The 15,680-nt window shown below is 37.0% G+C and overlaps 1 protein-coding gene across 8 annotated transcripts in view; it reads left to right on the forward strand.

The window, feature by feature from the left end:
* The window catches only part of CNTN5 (contactin 5), a 1,337,937-nt gene that overhangs the window by 1,202,269 nt on the left and 119,988 nt on the right, over positions 1 to 15,680 (forward strand). For 7 of the 8 annotated variants that reach the window (XM_017017926.2, NM_014361.4, XM_011542871.2 and 4 more), the window contains one exon: positions 1,475 to 1,595. The exons of the other annotated variant lie outside the window; for it this stretch is intronic. In XM_017017926.2, coding sequence (XP_016873415.1) covers positions 1,475 to 1,595 — 121 coding nt within the window. The remainder of the gene's footprint in view (positions 1 to 1,474; positions 1,596 to 15,680) is intronic. 8 annotated transcript variants of the gene reach the window in all.

The raw sequence follows: 15,680 nt of genomic DNA on the forward strand, positions 1-15,680 counted from the left end.
AATGACTAAACCAGACCATGTCTTAACAATTATTTCATGAGAGAAAACTTCAATACCCTCAGAAGTTCAGATTATAAGACTAACAGGAAGGCAAAAAGCAAAACACAACAGAAATTAAATACCAGAAAGAAATGATCTAAAACATAGTATATAGTAATTCACTGAAATAAATATTTATGATTTGAGTGATAAAAAGTTCACAATGACTTTGCACCCTTTCTATGAAAGCTAAGAGAAAAAGAAAATTCAAAAGATATCTGGAAATTTGTCTAGTTTTTATGATTTTCATAAAACCCATTGGTCTATCTCAAAATAAAGGCAAACAACTAAATTCTTAAATAATTATCAGGATACTGACTACTAAGAACAAACACATCACTTTTTAAAGGTCTGTAATCTGGGATGCCTCTCTATGACTTTCATTACATATTATTTCATGTGCTCAATTACTGTTAGAGAAAATTTTTGAGTTCTTTGATGTCATTTCAAGCAGCATGCATCTTATCTTATTCCAGTCATCGTTAGATTACAAAATGGAAACTGAAGGGAATATTGGAGTTTTGCTATGTCATTACCTGAAAAATAAAAACCTCCTGAGTTATTGTAAATATCAACCAGATCTTTACATGATCACGATAAAGGAAATCCATCTTTCCTGATAGAGTAAATTAAAGACAACACTAAGTAATGGAAGGTTTGTACCAGCCATTTTAAAGTATAGGAACATCACCTATCCCATGAACTAAAACATTTAAAAGATATCCTCCATGGTACTCATTGATCTCCCTAACTGCAGTTTTTCTTCAACTGTGTTCTAATCATCTTGCCCCCAACAAGAATCAGGTATTTGGAGCTTCCTTTGTGTTTTGTAACTGCACTGATTAACAAAGATTCAGGCTGACCCTGATCCATGATGGTAGTGGTTATGGGAGGAATATGTCTTTGTTAAGTAAAGACACATGGCTTTGGGACCAGCACTCTTTCAACTGAGCACTGTCTCATTCTGTTGCCTACAGTGTTCTTAGGAAAAGAGCTATTCAATAAAGTCACGAGATAATATTTTGATTGCTATCTTTTCACAATTCATTTCCCACAAGTTGCTGTTCCTTTCAATACGATTTTCTTGCCACAAAATACACCTGTCTCTGAATAGCAAAGCAACATTTTTGCTCACGGATTATTTCTCCTATACTTTTAAATATATGAGTTTGTGCATACTTAAATATTTTTAAATATCTTAGCTGCTAAATCATTATATGCAATATTAAATGTTCAACCCCTTTATTAGCAATTGTTAAAAACAAAACTTCTATGTGTTCCTTAAAAAAGGGCATGTTTGATTTCTGAATTGTTGTTAGATAAACTGTAAGGCCAAAAATGGGCCCTTTTACTGAATATGCAAAGTTCCCCCTTAAGCCACCTTGAACTAGGCAGATTTGCAACATTTTAAACTGGCACTTCATCCCTCTTTCAGCAAGCATCCTCTGCAGATTTAATGATCAGGAACATCCTTCTGATGCATGCTGGGAGATATGGCTGCAGGGTACAGACCACAGCAGACAGTGTGTCAGATGAGGCAGAACTTCTTGTTAGGGGTGAGTATGCTAATAGTGCAGTCTGAAGACATGATCACCATAAATTATCATACAAAGGAATTTAAATGCATGGACTTTGAGCACATCAGTACTGTGCATTTTACTTTCAATTTTACAATATATGTTATTTTCGCTTAACCTTTTGCCTTTGAAAAAATTACATGGAAAACTCCTCCTTAGTAACAGATGAAAACCACCAAACTAACTTCAGAGTCCAAAACACCTTTAGTAGTAAGTTGTCACTAAGTGTTTAACCTAATGCCAAGGAAATAATCTAAACAGTTGAGCTACTAAGTCACTTGGACTACAGAGATAAAATTTGTGTGTGTGTATATATGTTTTGCAAATGAAAAGCTAGTGGAACCCCCAGGCATTTTTTTCTTCTACTACTTCTAAGTTGGGCTTCCAAAAACAGAAAAACTGCATGTGTAAGATGGTGGCATTTGCAATTGTTAAGTGACAAGGATTTTTTTAAAGTCTGAAAATGTCAACATACAACCTCTCTATGCAGAAATGACAGTTAAATGGTTTCCAGTTATGAAACAGTACACCAAATTCTGCAATCCTAGGAAGCTACATCTTAAGCAAATGACTAGAGCACCCATTTCCTTTAGCACAGTATTCCACAGTATGGGAAATAGAGATCATAGCATGCATTTCCTTCCTTCTTTCCTTCCTTCTTTCTTCCCTGCCTCTTTCTTTCCTTTCCTCCTTCCTTCTTTCCTTTTAGCTTTGTTTGAAGTACAATATTTCTACATTTTCACCAATCATAAGCATACAGATGTATAACTTAATGAACAATGACAAAATAAACACACCATATAACTATCATTCAAAGTAAAAACCAGAACATTACCAAGATCCCACCAAGTACCTCTTCATTTTTCATCTTATACGATTATATTTTGAGTAGTATGAGTATTGCATGCTTAGATCCCTTGTATGGTCTGTACAGATAAAAACATTATCATCTATAGCAAGAAACTATATTTTAGATTAACTGGTCTTTTATTCATCTGGACTCTTACAATTTAAATATTAAAAATCTTGAACAGTAAACATAAGGCATAGAGTGAGCCTCATCATCTCTATGTTTTAGTTATATATATCACCGAATGTATATGGGTTTTGGTAGTGCATCCATCATTGGTTCAAGTAAAATGTTGTTTTTAAAGAAGTGTGTTATTGGGTGATTGGTAGTTTGTTCATTTTTTGTGTGTTTCTGTTCAGAAGGCTACTTGATCTTTTCTTCAAATTTATATCTAGCATGTATATCTGTGTTACCTTATTATAAAACACCAACTTTTTAAAGTATTCATCCTTTCAATACATTCTATTCCATTTAGCTAAAAATTTCTCTTTGTGCCTTCTGAAGTTACAAGACTCATGGAACTGCAAACCCTACACTCAGTCAAATTCATAGAAATTTGCTTTCTCTTGCTATGATCTGTTTTAGATTATGTATATTTATTGTCTGCACTTGCCTAGTAATTTAGAATGAAGCTCTTAAAATTGGAGCTTTCCAAATCAATATCACAATTTAGAGACTGATAAGAAACCAGGTATTTTTACTGGACTATAGGGGGTAAATTTAAGTGGCAAACTAACATTCTGCTTTGTAAGTAAAATTAAACTCAACAGGGTTTAGAATATAATTCAGGTTCAGCTTTCATGTTCTGCTCTTTTAGCCTTTGGCTTTATGCCTAGGAGATGATAAAATGCATAAATTTTCGGATTATACCCAATAGCAATTTCAAACAGGTTGCTATTGTCTGAATATTCATGTAACATTCAGCCCAAGCTTTCACTTGAAGTGAGTTTGATCAAGTCACCACTTTTCTATTATATATTTGCATTACTTTTCTAAAATTAGTAAAAATATCTTGTCATTTCTTCCTGGTGAGTTTTAGACAGATTTAAACACTGAACTAAGAGTTCTGGTTCTCTTTTAAAAAATTTTGTAAGTTTACAGCTCCTGGTAATTCAACAAGCTTTGATGTTTGAATATTGCTGTTTTTAATGTTGGCTTGCGAAATAAAATTTGAAATAGTTTTACTCTGCCAGTCTCCCTTCTCACACTCCTCCATTTGTTGGTCTGTAAACTCATGGTATTCTAATAGTATATGCCACAGGACCAAAGTTGAGCATTCTAGATGGAGCTTTTCTGATGATGGCTACAATTCTGGCAGCAGAATACTTAAAGCACAATTATTCAAATATGTGTCACAGAGAGATGGGAATATTAAAAACAATTTCCCCATTCATCTTTTAGTAGAATACTAAAAGTAGATTGGCTGAGCAGTTCACTTTGCTCAATGTCTTCATCACAAGGAACGTACTTGGATGGCAAGGATTATGTTCTTATGATTCTATTTCAGTGGAAATTTAAGGGAAAAAATCTATGTTCTCTTTGATGGACGGGAACAACTTTTTTATTGTCTTCCTTCCCATGAGAGATAGTCTATAAAATTATTTTATACATTTTACCAAATCCTGCAATTCTTCAACCTTGCCGCTCATGAACACTAAATTGGAGCACAGGTGTGTAGCCACATGGCCTCATCATTGCCTATTTAGAATCTGAGTGTTTCTGAGTAGTAATGTTCCCTGATACTCTCCCCATTCACTACTTTAAGGACTATTTTTTCCTCAACTGCTCGTTTGCACTTTCTCCTCATTTTGCTTGTGAATGTCAGTGCCATTATTCACCTCTATTCCACCATGATCACCTTTCTCCAAAGATTGCTTTTTTCGTAAATAATTACCTGAAGCATAAAGTCACTTGCTTTCCCAAATTTAATATTCAGTGAACCAGCATTATCACAGCACCATGCATAATCTGGAGAACCATAATAGAATGAATATGTTAGAAAAAATTATTTTGCTGAAATATAAAAGGAAATTAAAGCCACACCTGGACATCTGTGCACCATTTTAGTCACTTAAGTGTGCTATAACAATAGAGAAAGCATGACTAAATACTGCTATAGGGAACCTTTTTAAAGATGAGTAGAACTCGATCATGCTATTAAGGAAAGGGAGGTAGATATGTAAGAGATAATCTCACTGAGGAGGATATACAAATTGTTAAGAACCAGTATTCCCAGACAATATCAGAAGTGATCAAACACAAAGTAAAAGACTCTGGAGAAAGGAATATTAGTTTTTTGTTATTTTATTTTATAGAAATTAATGTTAGAAGTATGTTTTCTAAAGTAATTATAAGGGTAGGAAACTAAAGAATAATATGTGCTTAGCTAAACTAGGGTAACTAGGAGTGATAGCACTATCTTTCTATTCAGAAGAAGTGATAAAAATTCACTTTCTCATACAACTTCTCTATTTGTATTACTCTGCTTCTTAGTACAAAACAGTAGGTCAAGAAACTTTGGGAATAGTCAAAGAATAATCAATAATCTCTCGAGTCCTTCTGAATACACAGCCTTTCCTCAAACTTGAACAATTTTCACTTCCTGAATTACAACTTACATGATGAATCCAAAGTGTATTAATAGTTGAATTTGAAACGAATGAATTAAGCTCAGGATGTCACTTGTTGGGAGACATCTAACTGCTTTCAACCATCCACCTTGAACCCCACCCTATCACTTCCTATTGCTAACAGATTTCAACCTGTCTTTCAATTGAACTTCCTTCATCTGTCCAATCAATTCAGTTCCATTTATTATTTCCAATAATTATTTATTTCCTTGAATATCTAACTTTACTCTCTCCCAACTCAACCACTTTTCACTGCAAAAGTAAAATCATTAAAATTTTGGCCGTTTTGTCAATAAAATAAGTCTACAGGTATTTGCTTATAATTTGCTATTCATTTGTTCACCCACCTATTCATTCAGCACCTGCTCTGTGTCGGGCACTGAAGTCGGCACTCAGAGTGGAGAGATGAGGAAGCTGAGGTCTCAGCCCTCGGCTGGCTCTACATCCTCTAGTCCTCCAGTGTGAGATGCCTTTGGAATTAGGGTGAGGTGTACCATGGAAGTTCACCTGCGTACATTCTCAGTGTCACAGAGGAAATAGTGAGAGACTAAGATAAAACATAAGCAGAGCTGTGGGGCTGGATATGTAATCTGTGAAGAACAATGCCAAATGGAAACACAGGACCCCTTGTTCAAAATTATTAATAATTTCAAGACAGTGACAGAAAGGCATTAATCTAAGCACAGGGCCCCGAACTTGCAAGTTCGCAGATCTTGAACTACACAGCTCACACACCAAGGAAGCTAGCGCTAACTAATTATATATTCATCTACAGAAATAAAAGCATGTTAGCAAACAGAGGGGGCAAATCACAACAAAGTAAGGTTTTTTCATCTATAAAATTAGAATATCAAAGCCTACATCAGCAGTTTATTAGCTTTTTACACACACACACAAAATATTTATTTTACCCCATGAGTCATATGTTGAAAGATTTTGTTCGTTGTGTTGATGTAATCACTAATTTATGTTTCTATTTGAATTCCAGCCAAAGCCTTCTATCATCATAAGATAGATAATGTTACCAAACTATATAATTTAATTCCAGCCAACATCAAAGCTGACTTACCTTTTAGCTAGTTGTAAAGTATTATTGGTTTGTTTGTTTCAAATGGTTGAAAGTAACCTGAAGACACCAGTTTTTACCTGGATAGAAACTAATTTAGGAATCTTTGATTAAATATCTCCAAATTCTGTCCAAGTGCTAATCTTTAGTGATTCTCACTAGCAAGAGAGAAAAGTTTGACTTTTCTGCCTATACCCTTGGAAAAGATGCAAGTACTATCACTTTCCCAAATGCAATGGGAAAATAAAGCTCAGTGAAAACCTTGAGCATGTTTCTAATATATTGTTAGTTTATTTGAGAGTTAAAGCAGTATTAATGTGCTGTATCTTCACATCTCTCACTGCACTACCCTTGTGATCCAATTAGATTCTAAATTGATGTAAATGTCTATTTTTAGCATATGGCCACTTCTGAATGTTTCCAAGCTTTAAAATGCACAAATACTCAACACAAACATCTTTGGAGCATAGAGGTTGCGTAGTTTTCCTTTTCCACCATTGATCTAATATGTAAGAGCCTATTGTGCTTGGAGAGTGCATAAGCCTTCACATGGTTGAGTAATGATTTGAACGCAAGAGAGTCTCCAGTGAAAAAGACAAAATCCAGTAGTTATGAAAAACAAAGCTTGTTTTGCTAATATGCTGGTATTTGGAGTCAAAAAGACAATGACAAATGTTTTCAGTATAACTTTTTAATCCTAGTTAATATTAATACTAAATACATTTGCAAATAATATTTTAGAGAAGAATAAAATTTATTCAGCTAACATAATTATTTTTCAATATTTTTGAAAACTATAAAACACAGCTATAAAATGTCCTTCCTCTTAAAGAAAAGCTAATTTCATTCACGCTATCTCTTATTGGAATATTCTGCACTATTGTAGAAATATTAGATCACTATTATTGCTATTATTGTATGGGATTATTTAAATAGCTTATACCAATCACTTTTCTATCTTAGACTTTCTCTAATTAGTGTGATTGACACTTATAAAATTTCTTTTAGACACTGAAAAGCAGTTGTTTCTTTTCTCTTATGCTTTTCATATGGTTGCTTGCTAACCTGTAGAACTCTTAAACTGACAAAAAAGTAACATTTTTTTGTCAGTCAGATGTTCAGATTTTCTGCACCAGCTTTAGTTTGGCTCATTGAAATAATAGTTACCTGAAGTGATCTGACTGGCCAAAATGATTAAAGCAGTTTGCATGCATGTACATATATATCTGCAAATATGAAATGAGCAAACAGATGAATTGTCATTGCACACAGACAACCAATCAATACAAACTAAATCTCTTGTATTTTATTCCCCCAAATACTGAGTGCCTGCCAAAAGCCAGACTCTTTTAGGCACTGATATCTCCGTCAACTGACTGAGACATTCTCAGGTTTCTTGATGGGAGTATTTTGCCATTTTGAAACAAATATTCTGACTTCACTCTTCAAATTTGAGAAAAGTTCTAATCAACTGAGTTTTATGTAATACACATTTGGATTTATAAATTGTAAGATGAAATTGTATTTCACTATATTTTGTCCCACAGACTTAACCTATGTTTCTTACACATCCATCCTAATATAAAAATACAGTCACTTCACATCTGTGTAAGTTTGTGGAGATAAATTCTTAGTGTGTGGGCTTGTATTTTAAAATCCAATTTCATTCACTATTTAGTGAGTGCTTACCACATGCCAGGACAGTTCTAGAGTGCGAGAGGGAGACACGGTGGGACAGGATTGGAATAAATGCTTTCTGATGCTATGGGAAGGAGTTTAACTCTTATGCTACAAGTGATGCATATCCATCAAAGGATCACAGCAGGAAAGGGACAGGATAAGATGTGTCTTTAAAAAGACCATTCAGGAAAATGTTGAGTGTTTTAGAGGACACTGTGACTAGTGGCTTGCTAATAAAGCAGATGGGACAATAACGGTAATCTTGACAAGAAATAAGAAGGGTCTTATAAAAGGCAATAATAGAGACAGGAAGGGGTGTGTATATATTCAAAAGATAGGAAGGAGGCAGGATCTATAGAACTTGATGGCCCACTGGTTATGTAAAATGAGAACGAGAAGGCAAAGAAGATTGCCAATTGCAATGCTTGAGTGGCCCATCAGAGGGACACCGTATACTCTAGTTAGTTAGACTAACAGAGTTCCAAGTTATACTTAGAGTGTCAAAGTAGTTATTAATGAGGCCCCTTTATCCTCAAAATTGTCCTGGTTTAGAAGATAAATTTTGTGGTCCCCTAATAGAGAATGATCATGCAATCATAGTCATTCATGATCACGTTTATATAATCAGAAAGATGTGGAGATAAGTGGATTTGTAGTAAAGGAATAACATTTAGGGTTCTCCATTCTATTCTATTCTAAGCAAATAGTTGTGTAGCTGTGGAGCTCAGGAGAGAAACACTGGCCTTGACATCCAGATTTGAGCATTGTTCACATTTTAAAGTCGGGTGGGAATTAAATTAAAGAGCCTGTGAAGGCCAGGCACAGTGGCTCACACCTGTATTCCCAGCATTTTGGAAGGCAAGGTGGGCAGATCACTTGAGGTCAGGAGATCGAGACCAGCCTGGCCAACATGGGGAAACCCTGTCTTTACTAAAAATACAAAAATTATCTGGGCATGGTGGTGCACACCTGTAGTCCCAGCTCCTCAGTAGGCTGAGGCAGTAGAATTGCTTGAACCTGGGAGGGGGAGGTTGCAGTGAGCCGAGATTGCATCACTGCACTCCAGCCTGGCCAACAGAGTGAGACTGTCTCAAAAAAAACAAAAAACAAAACAAAGAGTCTGTGAAGCATAGGAAGGGGAAAATGCTGGAATGGAATGCTGAGAAACATTAACTTTGAAGAGGAAGAGGAATTTGAAAAGGAGATGTGAAGTTGCTGTCAGAGACCAAGAGCTACTGTGTGAAAACCCAAGTAAATATAAATCATGGGGACAAAGAGACAAGAGAAATAGAGGAAGGAGAAAATGGACAACAGTGTCAAAACCAAGTGAAATACGAACCAATTCACATATCAGTGAATTAAGAAACTTGGAAGTAAATGATGGCCTTGGCAAGGGCAAGTTCAGAGGAATGATGGGTGTAATAACCAAATTATGGTAGATGGAGAGATGCAAGCAATTATGTGTGAAAGGTAGCGCAGAATCTTAAGAAAATCCTTGGCTTTTAAGTCCAACAGACTGGGTCACATACCCACAAGCTCTTACTAGTTGTGAAACTTTGTGTAAGTCATTTAATGTTAACCTTGTTATCCCTTCGTTCATTCAGTACTTACTCATCAAACATTTATAGAGCACATAGTATGTGGCAGGCATCGAGCTATGATCTAGCTAAACATGAACAACTTTATTTTAGGGAAAAACACATCTTTTTACAGCATAATGTGAGATGTGCTGTTACCCATGTATGAGCAGCACATTTTGCTCTCTGACCATCAGCTTCATTACTAATAATAAACATAGCTAACATTTATCAGGTTCTTCCTATATGTCGGGCACTGCACTAAAGGCTCCATATTATAATAATTATTTCACTTTATTTAGCATATCACATAAAAACAATATGAAAAACGTACTATTTTTAGTTCCATTTTGAAGATAAGGAAGTCATAGAGAGGTTTAAGAATGTCACTTAAACCTCTCTATGTTAAACCACAAAATGTTTGAATGTCACTAACAAGTAGAAGAATAGTGAGTAGACTCCAGGCAGACCAGCATTTTAAATTACTATACTGCCTTCCACTGTCAATTGCCAGATTGTTTCAATTTCATTGATCATGATATCCCCTAGAACCATTTAGTTTCTGATACACTATAGTTCCTGAAAAATAATACATGTTTGTGGAAGGGAAGAAAAAAAGGAAAAAGAGAGAGGTAGGGAAAGAGTAGGGTAAAAGGGAGGAAGAAAGAAAGGAGTACTGTAAGAAACAAGAGAATGGCGTGACAAACTTTGCCTAGGAGTCAGAGAATTTCTATCAAGATGATATACTCACCGCAACTTAAGGATTTGTTGTCATTTGGTAGCCCAAGAAAGAATGAAGATATTCTACATTAGCTTGTAAAGACAGCACTTTGTCATTACCATCTATCTCTAAGGATAGGTCTCACATTCACAAATCCTCTAAAAGTAACTAATCTTTGACCACATGACCATGAGACAATAGTATTAGTAATGACTTTCTATGTTACACCTTGGCCTAAATGACCACAAACCTTACTGAAAAGTCTGAACTTCCTCTGATGGCCCATATCTTGCCATGCATCCAAAATAGTAAATTCTACTGACTACTTCCTCAGAACATCTTGTGGGACTTCTTATCTAGGTGCCATGGGTTTTGCTAGAAAGGAAGAACTTCGTTGCCATTGCTTTTGGTGTTTTAGTCAAAAAGTCTTTGCCCATGCCCAGATGGGATCTAATTAAACTAAAGAGCTTCTGCAAAGCAAAAGAAACTATCATCAGAGTGAACAGACAACCTACAGAATGGGATAAAATTTTTGCAATCTGTCCATCTGACAAAGGGCTAATATCCAGAATCTACAAGAAACTTAAACAAATTTACAAGAAAAAAACAACCCCATCAAAAAGTGGGCAAAGGATATGGACGCTTCTCAAAAGAAGATATTTATGCAGCCAACAAACATGAAAAAAAGCTCATCGTCACTGGTCAATAAAGAAATGCAAATCAAAACCACAATGAGATACCATCTCATGCCAGTTAGAATGGTGGTCATTAAAAAGTCAGGAAACAAAAGATGCTGGAGAGGATATGGAGAAACAGGGACACTTTTACACTGTTGGTGGGAGTGTAAATTAGTTCAACCATTGTAGAAGACAGTGTGGTGATTCTGCAAGGATTTAGAACCAGAAATACCGTTTGACCCAGCAATCCCATCACTGGGTATATACCCAAAGGATTATAAATCATTCTACTATAAAGACACATGCACATGTATGTTTATTGCAGCACTAGTCACAATTGCAAAGACTTGGAACCAACCCAAATGCCCATCGATGATAGACTTGATAAAGAAAATGTGGCATATATACACCATGGAATACTATACAGCCGTAAAAAAAGATGAGTTCATGTCTTTGCAGGGACATGGATGAAGCTGGAAACCTTATTCTCAGCTAACTAACACAAGAACAGAAAACCAAACACCACATGTTCTCACTCATAAGTGGGAATTGAACAATGAGAACACATGGACACAGGGAGGGGAACATTCACACATCAGGGCCTGCCAGCAGGGTGGGGGTGGTTGGGGGCTAGGGGAGGGATAGCATTAGGAAAAATACCTAATGTAGATGACAGGTTGACGGGTGCAGCAAACCACCATGGCATGTGTATACCTATGTAACAAACCTACACATTCTGCACATGTATCCCAGAATTTAAAAAAAAAAAAAAAAAAAAAAAAAGAAGAAGAAGGACTTCTAAATAAAATGCCACCAGGAAAACTGAGCACCGATAGACTTCTTTCTGCATAATCTCTTCTCATTCTCTCATTTTTAAATTTTTTGCAATTGCCCCAATTCTGGGGCAAAACCAAAACTCCCACATGCCTGAAAATGTGCCTGACCATTCCCATTGCTAAAATTCTTTAACTCTTTGATATTTGTTGTTTTTGCCTACTTATCTGTAAATTATACCAAGTGTCATGAAAACAAAACAAAATGGCCTTTAATGTTAAAAAAGATGGTCTTAAACTCACAAATATTAAGCAAAATATTGGAAGTACATTGTATCTGTTCATTTGTTTGAATTGTTTGGAAAAATCATCCCATTTATTTATATATTTTGTACAGACACATCTAAAATCAGACTTTTTTTTCTGAACGCATTCTGTTTCCTGTGACTGTCACCTAGACTGCTTTGGCGTGCCTTTTGAATACTGAGTAGTAATTTACTGTCATGTGATGTAGGAGATCAGTCAGAGTGATGGAGAAACTATAGGGAAAGGAGCAGGCCTTCTGAAAGGTTGGAAGGCTCTGCATAGCTTCAGGGAGAATAGCTGAAGGCAGCTGTTCTCTGACCCTGAGGCAGAGGGCGAGGAGTATGCTGAGGGAGGAGGAGGCGGTAAGGTAGATGATGGTTCTTCCTCCCCTCCCTTTTTAGGCTCTTCCGTGTAGAGCAGGGCCAAAGCAGCCCTAACTAAGGCCCATAATGTTAAAGATATTACTGGGACCCATTGCCCTTGTACATTATGTCTTTTAAGATTTCTTCCCACTTGTTCCCAGAGCTCTAGGTCTAGTGTGCCTTCTTCTGGGAACCATGGGTTATGGAAAAACAACAGTTTGCATTAGGTCGCTTAATTGGGCTTCAGAGACCAAGGCTCTGCTAGCTTTAAGCAGCTGTTTCAATACTTTTATATACTGTTGTCCCATGATGAATGCCCTCGAACTTGGAAATCCCCAGTGGGTACCAATTACTTACTGCCCACTCACTTCACTTTCGTTTTTTGAGGGTTCCGTCACAATCCATTGCAGCATTCCTCACATGGGGCACCACCTGCCAGGTCTGTCCCACAGACCCTGGCCTACGAATGAAATGAGTACTCAGACACAGGTATGCAGTGTAAGAGCAGCTAGGTGATTGCCTGACTCTAGTGGCCAGAGAGGAGCCCTGAGAAGCTGGAGCTGCTTGCTTTTATTCAGTGCAGGCACAATGCCAAAAACCTGGAGTCCATATAACCTGTAGGTAATTAACATTTATTTTTCCCTGTTCAGGGAACATCACGTGCACGGATGATCAAAGGTCAATTCCTAGTCAACATAAATAAACAAGGCTGTTTAAGATAAATTCCCCCACACTCCCTTGTACCTACTCCTTCTTTAAGCACTCACTCATTGGGGCAGCGTTAAGTCCAGTCCTGCACTCCCAGAGCTGGCTGCTCTGAGAGAGAGGACTGTGGGCCTTCCATCTGACCGAGGAAAGCCGCTGGCATTGCCCCAGTTTGGAACAGGACATGGAGGCTGGCCCCTCATGAAGTTTCCCGCCTGACTGCTTAGGGGATTGCCATTTTTATCAAATTTTGACTTGCAGAGATTTGCCCAATGTTTCCCCTTTTTACATTGGGGGCATATAAAAGGGGGTTCTTTTCCTGAGTGACTTTGGTCTTTACTATTGGGGCATTCCTGCTTCACATGACCTGGCTCTCAGCATAGAAAACAATTTGGGTTTTTCTCCCATTTCACTTTAGGAGGCTTTAATGCCACAGCCAATATCTGGCTTTGTGTGTTTCAGTCTCCACTAGCTGACATGCTCCTATAAGTTCCCCGACTGTAGCTGCCTTTCCTCTGATTGCCTGCATTGCCTTCAGCTATTCTCCCCCGAAGCTATGCAGAGCCTTCTGGCCTTTCAGAAGGCCTGCTCCTTTCCCTATAGTTTCTCTCACCTCTCTCACTGATCTCCTACAATTGTAAAGCCTGGAATGTACAGCCTTTTAGGGAATATACACTTCATATGGCCTGTTTTTGACAACCCAAATGTGGTCACCAAGAAAGAACTCCGCTGGGCGCGGTGGCTCACGCCTGTAATCCCAGCACTTTGGGAGGCCAAGGCGGGTGGATCACGAGGTCAGAAGATGGAGACAATCCTGGCTAACACAGTGAAACCCCGTCTCTACTAAAAATACAAAAAATTAGCCAGGTGTGGTGGTGGGCGCCTCTAGTCCCAGCTACTGGGGAGGCTGAGGCAGGAGAATGGCGTGAACCCGGGAGGCAGAGCTTGCAGTGAGCCGAGATCACAGCACTGCACTCCAGCCTGGGCGACAGAGCAAGACTCCGTCTCAAAAAAAAAAAAAAAAAAAAGAAAAGAAAGAATTCAAGTTCCAAGTAGAAGTTACTCTGAAAGGCAACCCACTGACTGACTGGTCACATCTCCTAAGAAGACAAAAGTAAAATTGGTAAGTTCACTCTAGTCTCTATTCCCCAATCGTACTTTATTTCAGTCTGTGTTCCAAAATACTAAATTCTTAATTATTTTCTTGATTTGGTGTAACACTACATACGATGTAGTCTGGTCCCAGAATGCTTCTTCACTGAACAATACAAAATCCATGCAGATTGAACAGAGGAAGGACTAGCGTTAATTGGAAGAAACTTTTGCTGACTTTTACTGCAGATTGAATTTTGTCCTCCCAAACACCTGGCAAAGGTAATGTCTCCGTTTCACTAAGTACTCCTTAATTTGGAATTACAAAGACGATTAGCTCTCTAATGAGTTACAGCAAGTGAGGTGAAAGAGTAGGGGAAAAAAACTGAACACCAGATGATTCTTTTTAATGCCAAGAAAAAAAAGGCTTTTTCTTGGTTAAAAATCTTTTAAATAAATTTCTCTCCTCTTTCATTTTACAAAACTAAAATATATAAATATTATTGCTTAGTATGTATGGGAAAAATCTGATTTCATAGAACATTACATGTAAAGATTGGCTGTCATGAGTACATAGGTCTCTACTCTGTATTATTGATTGAGTATATCAGTAAATTTACCTTTAGAAACTTATGAATCTGCTGGGGTACCTAACAAATTAGGAAGATGGGAAAAATAGTTCCTAGCTTTAGAAAAAACAGTTCATTATGAAAGAAACCTCTACAAGATTCAAAATGGGTAGGCATTGTAAAGATGAGATATAAAGGGTAATTCTCAGGTTATTTATGGGAGTGGAAAAGTAAAGGTGCATAAATTCAAGGTGAGCAAAAAGTAGTGGAGAAAAGGTCTGCTTGTATCTTTGCTGCAAATGTAGAATCAAGGTCTTTGGATTACCAGAACATTTAGCACTGGGTTTAGTCTATTGCTGATACTTACTTAGTAAATATTAGTTGAATTTCAGTAGTTTAATTAAAAAATGACTCAAAATTTTTAAAATGCCTGATAATCTGTTTACCCAACCAATCAGTATAGCATTAGAAAAATAACCCAGGATGGGATTTTATTCTCACTCTGGCACTAACTAAATAATCAGGCAAGTCATCCTACCTCTTTTGGACTTAATCTCCTCACTTGTCAAAAAAAAAAAAAAAAAAAAAAGGAGAAAGAAGAAGGAGAAGGCGAAAGAGAAGAGGGAAAAGGAGGAGAAGCAGAAGCAGCAGCAGCAGGAGGAGGAGAAGGGGGAAGAGGAGGAGGGGGTAGAAGAGGAGGAGGAGGAGGGGGAAGAAGAGGAGGAGGAAGAAAGAGGAGAGGAAAAAGAAGAAGAAGAAGAGGGGAAAATAATATTTAATTTTCTGGTTTACATAAAAGAATGAAATGAGGTTACAAACAGTAAATTGGTTTTTGGTAACTGGTAGATATTGTTGATATTCTCAAATCTAGGAAGAATTTCCATGTCCCTTATCTTTAAGATTAAATAGCTGAACCATTGTTCTTTATGGTATTCATAGGAGGGAAATAGTCTATATTTCTCCAATAGGTGATCTAAGCTCATTATCTATTGACAGAAATATCCAATAATATTCTGATTGTTGTGTCCATCTTATTTAATTACAATTTGATAATAC

This window comes from Homo sapiens, chromosome 11 (assembly GCF_000001405.40).
Source record: "Homo sapiens chromosome 11, GRCh38.p14 Primary Assembly".
NCBI lineage: Eukaryota > Metazoa > Chordata > Mammalia > Primates > Hominidae > Homo > Homo sapiens.